At 46.5% G+C, this 15,825-nt stretch overlaps 1 protein-coding gene and 1 pseudogene across 7 annotated transcripts in view; both read left to right on the top strand.

Annotated features, from left to right (window-relative positions):
* Positions 1-15,825, top strand: part of LOC112268044 (ankyrin repeat domain-containing protein 18B-like) — a 60,842-nt gene that overhangs the window by 23,848 nt on the left and 21,169 nt on the right. For 6 of the 7 annotated variants that reach the window (XM_047424292.1, XM_047424291.1, XM_047424293.1 and 3 more), the window contains exons 8-9: positions 69-122; positions 1,749-1,867. In XM_047424292.1, coding sequence (XP_047280248.1) covers positions 69-115 — 47 coding nt within the window. In that variant the 3' untranslated portion in view covers positions 116-122; positions 1,749-1,867. Of the gene's footprint in view, positions 1-68; positions 123-1,748; positions 1,868-3,402; positions 3,574-3,751; positions 6,732-15,825 lie in introns of those variants that run through there. The other variant, XM_047424296.1, reaches the window with a different exon arrangement.
* Positions 4,187-5,582, top strand: SNX18P5 (sorting nexin 18 pseudogene 5; annotated as a pseudogene).

Raw genomic sequence — 15,825 nt, forward strand, 5'->3', positions numbered from 1 at the left:
TTTAAACTCACATTTAGTTAACTGAAGTGTATTAGGTAAAGAACATAATTCTTTCTTTTTCTTTCCAGTTGTTGCTGTGTTGAACACTTGCTCCCGTCTACTTACTTCTCTATAATCCACTGGTAAGCCACATCTAATGAAGAGAATGTTTAACCATAAAGTCTTAAGGAAAAATTTTATTATTTAAAAGATTATAAAACTTTATTACTGGGCTGTTTACAGAACATTTTAATTGTTTTTCATAAAATATATAACATTACAATCTTTACTGAAGTAGGATGTTTTTGTATCACATGTGTGATGATAATTTATAGGGTAATTTAAATGATGTTTTTTAGCCTCAAGTTTTTTCTTTTCTTTTTTTTTTATTATACTTTAAGTTTTAGGGTACATGTGCACATTGTGCAGGTTAGTTACATATGTATACATGTGCCGTGCTGGTGCGCTGCACCCACTAACTCGTCATCTAGCATTAGGTATATCTCCCAATGCTATCCCTCCCCCCTCCCCCCACCCCACAACAGTCCCCAGAGTGTGATATTCCCCTTCCTGTGTCCATGTGATCTCATTGTTCAATTCCCACCTATGAGTGAGAATATGTGGTGTTTGGTTTTTTGTTCTTGCGATAGTTTACTGAGAATGAAGACACTTCTCAAAAGAAGACATTTATGCAGCCAAAAAACACATGAAAAAATGCTCATCATCACTGGCCATCAGAGAAATGCAAATCAAAACCACAATGAGATACCATCTCACACCAGTTAGAATGGCGATCATTAAAAAGTCAGGAAACAACAGGTGCTGGAGAGGATGTGGAGAAATAGGAACACTTTTACACTGTTGGTGGGACTGTAAACTAGTTCAACCATTGTGGAAGTCAGTGTGGCGATTCCTCAGGGATCTAGAACTAGAAATACCATTTGACCCAGCCATCCCATTACTGGGTATATACCCAAATGACTATAAATCATGCTGCTATAAAGACACATGCACACGTATGTTTATTGCGACATTATTCACAATAGCAAAGACTTGGAACCAACCCAAATGTCCAACAATGATAGACTGGTTTAAGAAAATGTGGCACATATATACCATGGAATACTATGCAGCCATAAAAAATGATGAGTTCATGTCCTTTGTAGGGACATGGATGAAATTAGCCTCCTTAAGTTTTAAGTGGATCTTGCAAATGAACACTAGTATTATTGAGTTTGATGTACTCAAATTGCCCAAAAGTCAGCTGTTTAAACAGCCAAACAACCAAGTCATCATTGATACTTTAGTAAATGTCATCGAAGGCTTCTTTGCATTTTACAGCTTTTACTACTTAGGGGAGTTAAGGAGTACCTGCCAGGCTTGTCTATGCTAATGTGACAATTTTCTTTTTGTAGTTGAACCGTGTTTTGTGGGGAGATACTTTGAGGCTCTGTAAATATCCAGTTACTCCTCAGAACCCACTAGATTTAGCATTTCATGGATGACTTGTGTTTGAACAATTATTACTATGATGGTTGCCAGATGATTATTTTCTTCTCTTCTTTGCTGTACATGGAGAAGTAAAACCAATAAATAACTGAGAAGAGAAAGCTCATGATTCTCGTGCTCCAATTCCCCAAGATTAGGCCAGTGGTAGACATTTCAAGCTGACTTCTTGTCTTTTTTATTTGTCTTCGTTACTCTGTCAGCACTTTTTTAGTTTCTGGAACAAGATGTTCTAAGCTAATGTTGTATTTTCTCTGCTCCAGCCATGGAATGAGTGATTTTTCTTAGAAGCAGAGGTGGAGCCACTGAGGAAGCACAGGCGAGCCCTCCCCAGCACGTGATCACTGGTCCCCAACAGAACAACCGCTGCCGCATCCATGAGGTACCAAGAAATTAGCAAAGGGCCTTCTGGCTGTCTGGGCACAATCCTCATGTGGTCCCTGGCTCAGCCTCAAGGGTTCTGCATTAGTCTCTGTGCTGTGTCTGTAGATCGGGACTCTGTGGGTAGGGCCCTGGGATGCCCAACAGCACAAGATGTCTCATCTGCCAAATGTCCCTGCCTTCCTCCCACTCTGACACTCAGGAATAGGCTACATGGCATGTCCAGGCAGTGCCAGGCCACCTCACTATCTCCTTTGAGATTGGCCCAGAGGGCTTTTGGGGTGAGTGTGGAGCTGGGCACCTGGAGCCTGAGGCCAGCTGTCTCTCCCTCTGTCTTGGAGGAAAAGCCATGTCCCAAAAAAAAAACCCAGGGCCTGACCTCTGGGCACACATACAGGGAGGGAGGGTCTGTGGGCTGAGGGGGGCATTGTAATGAGACTTTGAGCATGCTGCTCAGGGGCCTGGTCAGTGGACCATGCTCAGAGATGACCTGGTCATCAGGACCTAGTCAGTTGGGACCTGGTTAGTGGTGGCCTCCTCAGTAAAGGCCTCATCAGTGGGGACCTGGTGACCTAGTCATTGGAAGCCCAGTTCATGGGGACCTGGTCAGTGATGGTCTTCTTAGTGAGGCCTGATGGGTTGGAACATAAACAATGAAAAACTGGTTGGTGGGGCCTATACAGTATACTAGGGGCCTGGTCAGTGTGGGGCCTTAGTGGCTTGGAGCCTCGTTAGTGAGGGCCTGGTCAGAGGGGGCTCAGTCAGCTGGGGACTGATCCATGGAAAATTGTTCAGTGGGGGTCAGGTGAGCAGCGACCTGGTCAATTGTGGTCTTGTCAGTGGGAACCTGGTCAGTGGGGACCAGGTCAGTGGGAAATTGGTCAGTGAGGTCTGGCCTATGAGGCCTATTAAGTGTGAGCCTGGTTAGGAAGACATGGTCAGTGGGGACTTGGTCAGTGGGAATTGGTAAATGGAGGAGTGGTCATTAGAGGCCTCATCAGTGGGAAACTGGTCCTGGGCGGCTGGTCAGTAGGAACCTGGCCAGCTGGCCACTGTGTGACCTCAGGCAGGGGGTTTGTCTGTGGAGTCTCCTTGCCTCCATCTGCAGGGAAGGTGAGTCAGGGCACCTTGGAGGGTGGCTGGAAAGAGAAGGTGAGAAGATGTGTTGAATCCAGCACCACTTGGCAGACCTACAACTTTACACATGACTTGTGTTCTACCTAGAGGGGGTGCCAGCCCTCTCTGCTGTGCCTGGTGCCCCTCCTCTCTCTGCATCCCCAGGACCACCATGGGTGGGGAAGGCAGAGATTGGGGAGCACCTGTAGAAGCTCTAATGCTGGCCATGAGCCCTCAGTGATGACCTGGGTGCACCTGTGAGTGGAGAAGCTAGGCCTGGCCAGAGAAGCAAGAGAAACACACACACACATATGTGCACACACACACACAGGCACACACACATGCACAAACACACTGCATCCACACATGTCAGTTCAGGGGATAGAGGACACTGACTCTGGGCCCTGCTGACCCATGCAGGCTCCCATTGTGGTGGGTTGTGTCACCCCACAATGTTACTGTTGCTGAGCCCCCATCGCCTCTGTGTTGTGGAGCAGTTAGAGACACACTGTGGTGTCTGAGTGGCTCTGCATGAAGGACCGTTTTCTAGGTGAGAGGCACATCTCAACACAGCTGACTGATCAGACTCAGGTGAGTGGGACCTGCTCTCTTCTCTTCCTCCTAGCTTGGGGACAGTCGCTATCAGGTGGGTGGTTTTGGCCTCTGGGCAGCTACTGAGGGTAATCCCTGAACACTCACCGGATGCCTATTCTGTGCTGACAGTCATCTCGTTCATCCTCGCAGCAATTCCATTCTGCATCTTTTCTAGTCACCCCCGTGATTACCCAGGACAACCCCATCAGGCCCTCTCACCCAGGCCCAGTCCAGCTCCATGATAACCAAGACGCAGGTCCAGAGACAACCGCCCTGCATGGTGCCTGCATCTGACCCCCTTGGTGGGTAGTGACCAGCACAACATGGAAGAAGTCAGGGCAGCATGCAGCCAGCTGCCCTGCAGCCCCAGATGGCTCCTAGGCCTTGGGAAGTCATTCTCAAAGGGGAAGCTGGTCATTTTGAGGTCCCTGGAGGGAAGGGTGAATGTGTCATCCCAACAGCCCTGGAAGCCAGCAGCATGCCATACATCTTACCCAACCTGTGTGACAGAGGCCCCCTCCTGGGGCACAAGTCCCATACCTAAAGGGTCCTGTCCCAGTTGAACCTCATCCTGAGCCCTGGGAGGGGAGGAGCACCATGGGCCTCCCTGCAGCAGCCAGGGTTACCACCCAGGGGACTCAGCCTTCTGTGGCCCTGGCCAGACTTAGAATTTGGCCCAAGACAAGACAAGCTCACTCGGAGCAGCTTGTCAGTACCCGGGGCCTGTGCATGCCAAGTAAGTCCAAGCTGGCTCAGAGCAACCAGCCACCTCTGCAAGGGTTTGCCAGGAGCAGGTGGACCAGCCACCAACCTCACCGACTCAAGGAAACAGGGATGGCCAGGTTCCCACACCCCGAGTGACCACCACCTGACAGCTGATGGAGTGGAGGCCTGAGGAAAAGCAGATGGCACTGGGGCCCTACCTCCAGGGCAGAGTAACTGATTTACTGCAAGTGAGGTTGGTGGCTGGTCCACCTGCTCCTGGCACACCCTTGCAGAGGTGGCTGGTTGCTCTTTGAGCCAACTTGGCCTTGCCTGGCATGCACAAGCCTCAGTTCAACAACTGTGCTGCAAATGGAGCCACATAGAGGAAATGAGCAGCAGGCTCAGGAGCAGGGTTTGCGCTGCCTTTGGGGCTCCAATCCATGCATCGGGGCTCCAATCCATGCATCAGGGCTCCTACAGCACTGTGGGCTTCTTGGGTGCCAAGAGGCAGACCACAGGCCCTCTTGAGGAGGATTCTATGTTCAAGTGCAGAAAGGGCCCAGTCTGGTAGATGAACCACACGGCCAGCTTCTGGGTGCAGGCACAGTGCCACATCTTCCATCACTTCCTGATGTGCCACACCAGCACTGAAGAGACAGCCTGGAGACAGGGCAAGAGGAAGGCTGAGAAGGATGAGATGGTGAGTGCCAGATTCTCCCTGGCTCTGAGCCCACCTCCAGGGTGACACTCAAACTTTAGGAGTGGGAGAGCAAGATTGACAGCTTCAAATGCTTCACCAAGAAGATGGACAACAGGGCACTCAGCTTAACTTCACAGCCAATGAGTTGACATGCAAGCAGGTGATGGTGACAGGCTTTAAGAAAGAGCATCAGAAGGCTGCCAGTTCTTCAGCCTCAGCCAGGCCTTGGAGCTGGACCAGCCCATCCACTTCACCACAGATGCCTTCAACACTGTCAGTGAGCTCTTTGCCAATCATCCCAGGCAGAACCTGGACCCAGTCATGGACCTGTTAGTACTGTCTCAGGGACACCAGACCAACATCCTGAACATCATCCACATACACAAGCAAGTTCTTACCAAAGTCGCAGAAGGCAGGCAACATGTGGCAGAAGGGAAGATAGAGATGCAGAGGCTGATGACATCAGAATCACAGGAACAGGAATTCTTTCACCACTTCAGTGGAAATTCACCACTTCCATCCAATTTGAATGAGAGACATGAAATCACAGATGCAGCATTTCTTGCAAAAAGAGATACTATTTTTTCAAAAATCATCCAGGAATTGATAGTGTTGAATTACTAGATATTTGATTGTGGACTGTTTACAGTTCAAGGATACTTTCTACACAGAATAATAACACTAGCAAGGAGCTAGTGCCAGCTATCCGTGGTAGCACAAGGATGGTTTTGTGCTCAACTGAAATCCAGCTGAATACAGAATTGTGTAGGAAACAGTTAATATGTTGACAGAATAGAAACAGTAGCAAACACAAACTAAATCATGCCATGAATGCCTAAACTACCAATGTAACTTTTGGAAGAATGATAATACCACTTTACTGCTTTTTGAAGTATGAATATTTTAGTGTATATGCCGTAGACCACAAACCCTATAAAGAGTCCCAAATAAGTTGGCTGGATAAAGCCTGCTGTGCATGTCTTTATACTCAAAGACTGATGATGCAATTCGAATATGTGTCCCCACCAAATCTCATATTTAATTATATTTCCTAATGTGGAAGGTGGATCCTGGTATAAGGCAATTGATTTATGAAGGCAAATTTCTCATGAATGGTTCAGCACCATCCCCTTGTACCATCCTCACAATCATGAGTGACTTCTCGTGAGATCTGGCTACTGAAAACTCTATGTCACCTCCCTACTCTGCGTGTTTTCCTCTTGCCATGTGAGACAACTCACTCTTTCTTTGCCTTGTGCAAAGATTGAAAGATTTCTGAGGCCTCCCAGAATAAGAAGCCCTGTGCTTCCTGTCCACCCTGCAGAACCATGAGCCAATTAAACCTCTTTTTCAAAATGAATCAAACAGAAAATGGCAAATGACGATTGCAGCATTGCTATAAAGATACCTGAAAATGTGGAGGCAGCTTTGGAACTAGGTAATGGGCAGAGGTTGGAAGAGTTTGGAGGGCTGAAAAGAAGACAATGAGAAAATTTTTGGACTATCTTAGAGACTGGTTAAATGGTTGTGATAAAAATCCTGGCACAAACATGGATAGTGAAGGCCAGGCTGAGGAGGTCTCAGATAGAAATAAGAAGCTTTCTGGAAAAGGTCTTCCTTTTGAATATGGAAAGCTTACACAATGCCTGTACCATCGTTATACGTTAGAAGCTGTGAACTTGCTTTTTATTTCAGAGGCTCATAGGAAAAAGAGACTGTAGCCTTGACTCAGATGAGATTTTGGACTTTCTAAGTTTGAGTTAATGCTGAAATGAGTTAAGACTCATTCTGGCAAGGCATGATTGTATTTTGCAATGTGAGAAGGACATGATATTCATGGGATCAGGGACAGAATAATATGGTTTGTCTCTGTGTCCGTATCAAAACCCATGTGGAATTATACTCCCTAATGTTAGAGGTGGGGCCTAGGTGGAAAAAGATTTAGTTATAAAAGGGTGCGGGTAGGTTCTCCATGAATGATAAAGGACCATCACCTTGATGCTGTCCTCCTGATAGCGAGTGAGTTCTCATGAGATCTGGTTGTTTAAAAGGCTGTGGAACCTCTTTCCTCACTCTGTCTTCCTCCTACTCCTGCCTTAGGAGATATCTCATTGTCTTGGCTTTTGGTATAATTAGGAGGCTTCTTGATTCCTCCCAGAAACGGAAGACACTATGCTTCCTTCACAGCTTGCAAAACCATGATTCAATTAAACCTCTTTCATTTACAATAATAGAGAAAATTAGAACTGCAGAGAGAGCTGTGAAATGTCTTCAAGGCCTTTTTCCCTTTGTCTTGGCTATTAGCACAGGGCTTCTTTATATGCAAATTTCTGAAGTCTTCTTGAATTTTTCCCCTTAAATGGGGTTTGTGTTATTGCTACATAGCCAACCTGCTATAGAGATACCTGAAAAAGTAGAAGCAGGCTCAGTAGTGGGTAGCAAACAAAGATTGGGAGGGTTTGGAGGGATTAGAGCATGACAGAAAGATGAGGGAGAGGGAGGAAGTGATTTAATCATGGATAAGCAGGGGTGGGTGTGGATGGAAAAAGGGGTGGGTAGGGTGGGAATGAGTAGGCTGGCTGTAGGGTGGTGGGAGGGTCGTGGGTAGTAGGAAGGGGGAGTAGCATGCTGCAGAGGCAGAGCCTCATGTAAAACCATTACTAGGGCAGTGCACCTGTGGCTTTGCAGGTTTGAGCCCCCATGGCTGCTCTCATGGACTGGACTAGTGTTCAGTGCCTGTAGCTCATCCACACTGAGGGTGCAAGCTGTTGGTGGGTCTCTGAATCTGGGGTCTGGAGGGTGGTAGCCCTGTGTGGGGGCTCCAAGTCCGTATTTTCCTTCTGCACTGCCCTAGTAGAGGTTTCCCAAGAACTCTGTGTCTGCAGCAGGCTGCTGCCTGGAAACAGTGGGAGGTGGGGGTGGGAGGCAGATCCTTCACCAATGGTTAAGCACCATCTTCTTGATGCTGACCTAGTAACAGTGAGTTCTTATGAGATCTGGTTATATAACAAGGTGTGGCACCTCTTTCCTCTCTCAGTCTTGCTTCTGCTCCTGCCATGTGAAACATCTCCTTGCCCCTTGGCCTTCTGGTATGGTTGTGAGGCTCCCTGAGATGTCCCAGAAGCAGAAGCCGCTCTGCCTCCTTTACATCCTGCTGAACCATGAGCCAATTAAACCTCTTTTCTTTATGATCATACAGAAAATTAGTGCTATGAAGTGGAGCTATGAAGTGCCTTCAAGGCCCTTTCCCCTTTTCTTGGAAACCAGCACTCAGCTTCTTTTCATGCAAATATCTGGAGCCTTCATGAATTTTCCCCCTGAAAGTGGACTTTTCTTCTTTTACCACACTGCCAGGTTGTGATAAAGATAGCTGACAATGTAGAACCAGGTTCAGAAGTGGGTAAAAGACAGAGGTCAGGAGAGTTGGGAAAGCTTGGAAGACAGCAAGATGAGGAAAATTTGACCATTGTAGAGAATTGTTAAATACTTGCGATCAGAAGGCTGACAGAAGGATAAACACTGAAGTTCAGACTTAAAAGGTCTCAGATGAAAATTAGGAATTTCCTGTGAACAGGAGCCATGGTTACATTTGATTGGCCTTAGCAAAGAACGTGGCTGCACGGTGACCCTGCCCTGGACATCTATGAAACTATGAATTTGGGGGTGATGATTTAGGATGTATCTGGTGGAATGAACATCTAGGCAGCCTAGCGAGGTGTCCTGTCTGCATTGAATAGCCTGTGTTCTTATGTGTGACCTAAGAAATGACTTCAAGTTGGAACTTCTATTGAAATGAGAAGTGGAGACCTAAAGTTTGGAAAATCTGCAGCCTGGCCCAGTGGTCAAAAAGAAAAGCTGATTCTCCGGGGGAAAATTGAAGAAGGCTTAGAGTATCTGCATAAAAAGAAGCCCAGTGCAAATAGCCAAGACAATGGGAAAGAGGCCTCGAAGGCATTTCACAGTCCTCTGCAGCAGCCCTTGCTGTCACAGGCCCTAGGGCCTGGCAGAGAAGAATGGTTTCCTGGGGAAGCTCCATGGCCCCATTGCTGTGTGCATCCTCAGGACACTGCTGGCTGCATCCCTGCGGTTCCAGCTCCAGCCATGGCTCAAAGATGCACAGGTACAGCTTGGGTTACTGCTTCAGAGGTGGCTCCAAGCCTTGATTGTTTCCATATAGTGTTAAGCCAGCAGATATACAGAGTAAGAGACTAGAGGCTTGGGAGCCTCTGTCTAGACTCCAGAAGATGCACAGAAATGCCTGGATGTCCAGGAAAGCAGCTTTTCCAAGAGGCAGGGCCTCCTGGGAAACCTCTACAAGGGGAGCAAAGAAGGGACATATAGGGTTGAAGCCCCCATACAGGGAGGCATCATTCTCCAAACCCCAGATTCATAGACCCACAAACAGCTTGCACCCTCAGTATGGAAAAGCTACAGGCACTCAACACCAGCCCTGTCCATGATGGCAGCTACAGGGGCTGAACACTGCAAAGCCACTGCAGATCTGCCCAAGTCCTAGGAAGCCCAGCCCTCACACCCCTGTGCCATGGATGTGGGACAGGGATTCAAAAAGGATGATTCTGGAGCTGTAGGATTGAGTGATTGGCCTGCTGGGTTTTGGACATTTATGTATCCTATGAATCCCATCTGTGTTTTGTGCTTCTTTCCAGCAATTTTTTTTTCTATTGGTTGAGAATGCTTACCCATTGCCTGTACAATCATTGTAGCTTGGAAGTAGTTAAGTTGCTTTATAATTCACAGACTCATGGCAGAAGAGACTGTAGATTTATCTCAGATAAGACTTTGGGCTTTGGATATTTGAGTAAATGCTGTAATGAGTTAAGATTTGGGGGACTGCAGGGAAGGCATCATTGTATTTTGCAATGTGAGAAAGACATGAGATTTGGGGGACCCGGGACAGAGTAATATGATTTGGCTCTGTACCTCTCCCAAAACTCATGTGGAATTTTAATGGGGAAAGTTAGAGGTGGGGGCTGGTGGAAGGTGATTTAATCATGGTGGAGAGTGGAGGTTGGATGGGAGGGATGGGGAGAGTTGGAGGGTATTGTGGAGGTGGGGAGAGTTGGGGGGGATTGTGTTTGGGTTTATGGGTAAAAGGCAGGTGTGGGGGTGGATCCTTCACAAATGGGTAAACACCATTTCCTTAATGCTGCCCTTCTGAGAGTGAGTTCTATTCATGATTTTGGAGCTGTGAGATTGAATGAACAGTGTCCTGCTGGGTTTTGGATGTGCATTGGGCCTGCGGTCCCACTTGTGTTATTTTTCTTGGAAATTTCTTCCCTTTGGATTGAGAAAACTTACCCAATACCTGTACCATCATTGTACCTTGAAAGAAATGAATGCCCTTTTAACTTCAGGGCCTCATAGGCAGAAGAGACTGTAGCCTGGTCTCAGATGAGACTTTTAACTTTTCACATTTGAGTTAGTGTGGGAATGAGTTAAGGCTTTTGGAAACTTTTGAAAAGATGTGATTGTATTTTACTGTGTGAGAAGGACATGGGATTTGGGGGGGTCAAGGTCAGCATAATATGATTTGGCTGTGTGCCTCTAGAAAAACTCACATGGAATTTTAATCCCAAATGTTGGAGGTGGGGCCTGGTGGGAGATTATTTAATCATGGATGGGAGGTGTGGGGGTGGAAGAAAAAAGGGGTGGGTAGGGTGGGGAACAGTATGCTGGCTGTAGGGTGGTCGGAGGGTGGTGGGTAGTAGGAAGGGGGAGTAGCCTGCTGCAGAGGTAGAGGCTCATGGAAAACCTCTACCAGGGCAGTGCACCTGTGGCTTTGCAGGCTTTAGCCTCCATGGCTGCCCTTATGGGCTGGGCTGGTATTGAGTGTCTATCGCTTTTCCAAACTGAGAGTGTGAACTGTTGGTAGGTCTACGAATCTGGGGTCTAGAGGATGGTGGCCTCCTGCAGAGTGACTCAAAGCCCTTGTTTTCCTTCTGCACTGCCACAGAACAGGATTTCCAAGAGGCTCTGCCTCTGCAGCAGGCTTCTGTCTGGAAACAGTAGGGGGTGGAGGTGTTTTGGTGGGGTGGATCCTTCACCAGTGGTTAAGCACCATCTTCTTGATGCTGACTTAGTGATAGTGAGTTATCATGAGATCTGGTTGTATAACAGGCGGTGGCACCTCTTTCCTCTGTGAGTCTTGCTCCTACTCCTGCCGTATGAAACATTTCATTGCTGCTTTCCTTCTGGTATGATTGGGAGGCTTCCTGAGTCTTCCCAGAAGCAGAGGCCACCATGCTTTCTTTATAGCCTGAAGACCCATGAGCCAATGAATCCCCTTTTCATTATGACCACACAGAAAATAAGTACTGCAAAGTGGAGCTATGAAATATCTTCAAGGACTTTTCCTCATTGTCTTGGCTGTTAGCACTGGGCTTCTTTTTAATGCAAATATCTGAAGCCTTCTTGAAGTTTCCCCTGGTGGAGAGTGGAGGTTGGATGTGTGGGAAGGGGAGGGTTGGAGGGTATTGGGAGGGTGGGGAGAGTTGGGGGGGATTGTGTTTGGGGTTACAGGTGAGAGACAGGAGTGCCAGGCTGCAACAAAGATAGCTGAAAATGTAAAGCGGTTCAGAGGTGGGTAACACCAGAGGTTGGAGAGTTTGGAGAGCTTGAAAAAAGACAGGAAGATGAGGGAAAGTTTGGACCATTGTAGAGACTTGTTAAATAATTGTGATTAAAATGCTGACAGAAGGAAGGCCAGGGAAGGCCAGGGAAGGCCAGGCTTACAAGGTCTCAGATGAAAATGAGGAACTTACTGGGAACAGGAGCCATGGTTACTTTTGTTTTGCTGTAGCAAAGAATGTGGCTGCAGGGCGACCTTGCCCTTGAGATCTGTGAAACTTTGAACTTGAGGGTGATGATTTAGTGCATATCTGGTGAAATGAACTTCTAGGCACCATAGCACAAGAGGGATCCTGTCTGCATCAAACAGTCTGTGCTGTTATGTGTGACCAAGGAAATGACCTCAAGTTGGAACTCATATTTAAATGATAAGCAGAGCTCAAAAGTTTGGAACATTTGCAGCCTGGCCAGGTGGTCAAAGAGAAAAGCTGATTTTCAGGGGGAAAATTCATGAAGTCTCCAGAAATTTGCATAAAGTGGAGGCCAGTGCTAATAGCCAAGACAATTGTGGGGAAAAGGCTTGGAGGCATTTCAGAGATGTTTGCAGCAGCCCTTCCTGTCACAGGCCTTGGGACCTAGGAGAGAAGAATGGTTTCCTGGGCCAGCCCCATGGCCCTGCTGCTGTGTGTAGCCTCAGGACACTGCTGCCTGCATCCCAGCAGCCCCAGCTCCTGCTCCGACCTTGGCTGAAAGATGCACAGGTACAGCTTGGGTCACTGCCTCAGAGGGTGCAAGCTATAGGCCTTGGTTGCTTCTACATAGTGTTAAGCCAGTGAGTCCACACAGCACTAGTCTAGAGACTTGGGAGCCTCCATATATATTTCAGAAGATGTATGAAAATGCCTGGTGTCCAGACAGAAGGCTGCCAAAAAAGCAGAGTCTCATGGGAAACCTCTACTTGGGCAGTGCAGAAGGAAAATATGAGGTTGGAGCCCCCACACTGGAGGCCACCATCGTGCAGACCCCAGATTCATAGACCCATCAAAAGCTTCGTACCCTCCATGGGTTAAAAACTTCAGGCACTCAACACCAGCACAGCCCATGAGGGCAGCTGTGGGGGCTGAACACTACAAAGCCATAGGTGCAGAGCTGCCCAAGGCCTTGGGAGCCCACCCTCACGCCCTTGTGCCCTGGATGTGGGACAAGGATTTAAAAGGGATGACTTTGGAGCTGTAGGTTTGAATAAGCGGCCTGCTGAGTTTCAGAATTTCGTGGGACCTGTAAGTCCAGTTTGTGTTTTGTTCTTCTCTCTGGCAAAAATCTTCCTTTTGGGTGGAGATTCTTACTCAATGCCTGGACAATCGTACCTTGGAAGTGGTTAACCTGCTTTGTATTTCAGAGGCTCGGGCAGAAGAGACTGCAGCTTTGTCTCAGTTGAGACTTTGGGCTTCAGACATTTGAGTAAATGCTGGAATGAGTTAAGACCTTGGGGGTCTTATCCAAGACGACAGGGAAAAGTCACTGAAGGCATTTCATAGCTTAACTTCACAGTACTAATTTTTTGTGTGTTCATAACAAAAAGGGGTTTAATTGGCTTATAGTTCTGCAGGCTGTAAAAAAAGCATAGTGGCTTGGGGAAATGGCAGGTAATGCATCATTTCATTTTGCAAAGTGAGAAGGACGTGAAATCTGGGTAGGCAGGGACAGAATGATAAGATATGGCTGTGTGTCCCTACAGAAACTTATCTGGAATTTTAATTGGAAATCTTAAAAGTGGGGCCAAGTTGAAGGTGATTTAATCATGGAGGGCAGTGGGGGTTGGAAGGTGGGGATTGGGGAGCATGGGTGGATTTTGGTGGAGGTGAGGGGTGAAAGGTAGGGGTGGAGGCAGGATCCCTCACAAATGGTTAAACACTATCTCCTTAATGTTTTCCTCACGATGGTGAGTTCTCGTGATGGTTTTGGAGCTGTGAGATTGAATGGATACTGGCCTTCTGGGTTTTGGACTTGCATTGGCCCTGTCATCTCATTTGTGTTATTTTCCTGGCAAACCTCTACCCTTTGGATTGAGAAAACTTGCCCCATGCCTCTACCATCATCGTACCTTGAAAGAAAAGAACTCCCTTTTAAATTCAGGGACTCATAGGCAAAAGGGACTGTAGCCTTTTCTCAGGTGAGACGTTGAACTTTTTACATTTGAGTTAATGTTGAAATGACTTCAGACTTTCAGCAACTTTTGAAAAGGCATGATTGTATTTTACTCTGTGAGAAGGATATGATATTCAGGGGATCAGGGTCAGAATAATATGGTTTAGCTGTGTATCCCTACCTAAACTCATGTGGAATTGTAATCCTGAATGTTGCATGTGGGGCCTGGTGGGAGGTGATTTATTCATGGATGGGAGAGGGGTGGGGTTGGAAGTACAAAGAGGTGGGTTAGGTGGGGAGGAGTAGGTTGGCTGTAGGGTGGTGTGAAGGTGGCATGTTGTGGGAGGGGAGTAGCCTGCTGCAGAGGCAGAGGCTCATGGGAAACCTCTACTAGGGCAGTGCACCTGTGGCTTTAGCCCCCATGGCTGCTCTCATGGGCTAGGCTGGTGTTTAGTGCCTGTAGCTTTTCCATACTGAGGGTGCAGGCTGTTGGTGCATCTATGAATCTGGGGTCTGGAGGATGGTGGCCTCCTGCATAGGGGCTCCAAACCCATATTTTCCTTCTGCACTGCCCTAGTAGAGGTTTTCCAAGAGGCTCTGCCTCTGTCTCAGGCTTCTGCATGGAGACAGTGAGGGGTGGATACGGGGTGGGGGGCAGATCCTTCACCAATAGTTAAGCACCATCTTTGTGATGCTGATCTCCTCATAGTGAGCTCTCATGAGATCAAGTTGCATAACAGGATATAGCTTTAGATAACATGAATATTTGGCTACTTCTACTTTGAATCACAATGTAAACAGAATTAATAATTCTGTTGAATTGTACACACAATTAAGTTTATGAAACCAATTTAAATTAGTTAACCATTTTCTCATATTACTGGATTCAGAAAAGCTCTAACTTATTCAGTCATCTGTTATTAGCATGTCAAGTTTCCCCAACTTTAAATCATGATTGCTAAACTACAGGAAAGTCAACTACAGCAAAGAGCAAACTCTCCCATTTGGTAACAATTGAAAGGCAGGGCAGCACAATACAATTCATTCCAATAAGTTTTCATATCACTTCAAAATATCAGGATAGTCCAGTATCAATGTATAACTTGAGGCAATTTTTGTATTCTGTTTACAGCAATATAATTTCATAAGAGTTCTTTGGTGAAAAGCAAATCGTGGTGTTAGAGAAAAAACAGAATTTCACTTCATTTTTTAGCTAACTTCAGACTCATCCATCCAGAAGAAACATATTCAAGGTATTCCAAAATAATAAAAACCTCAAACTGCATCACAGTTGGCATCTTGACATTTAATACATTGAAAATCACAACATATGAAGTGTCTTACTAAGACAGTAAACACAGTAAATAATCATTCAATTCTTTATTCAAATATAAATAATATTCATGTTTAACCAATGTAGAAATTACAAATATATGTAATTACATAAAAAAAAAAGGATATGGCACCTCTTTCCTCTCGCTGTTGTGCTTCTGCTCCTGCTATATGAAACATTTCATTGCCGCTTGGCCTTCTGGTATGGTTGTGAGTCTTCCTGAGTCCTCCTAGAAGCAGAAACAACTATGCTTTCTTTACAGCCCGAAGAACTGTGAGTCAATTAAACCTCTTTTCTTTATGTATATACAGAAAATTAATGCTGCAAAGTGAAGATATGAAATGCCTTCTAGGCCTTTCCCGCAATCTCTTGGCTGTTAGCACTGGTTTTTTTAATGCAAATATTGGAGGCCTTCTTGATTTTTCCCTTGATAATGGACCCTTCTTCTTTTACCACATGGCCAGGCTGTGACACAGATAGCTGACAATGTAGAAGCCAGTTCTGAATTGGGTAATGGCCAGAGGTTAGAGAGTCTGGAGGATGGTAACCTCTTGTGTGGGGCCACCAAGCCTTTTTTTGTGTGTTTTGTTTTTTTCCTGCTCTGTCCTAGTAGAGGTTTTCCTAGTGGCTCTGCCTCTGCCTCAGGCTTCTGCTTGGAAACAGTGGGGGTTGTGGGTGGTAGGGGGCAGATCTTTCACCAATGGCTCCACCAATGGTTAAGCATTCTTGATGCTGACCTTGTGTTAGAGAGTTCTCAGGAAATCTGGTTGTATAA

This window comes from Homo sapiens, chromosome 9 (genome assembly GCF_000001405.40).
Source record: "Homo sapiens chromosome 9, GRCh38.p14 Primary Assembly".
In the NCBI taxonomy this organism is placed as follows: Eukaryota; Metazoa; Chordata; class Mammalia; order Primates; family Hominidae; genus Homo; species Homo sapiens.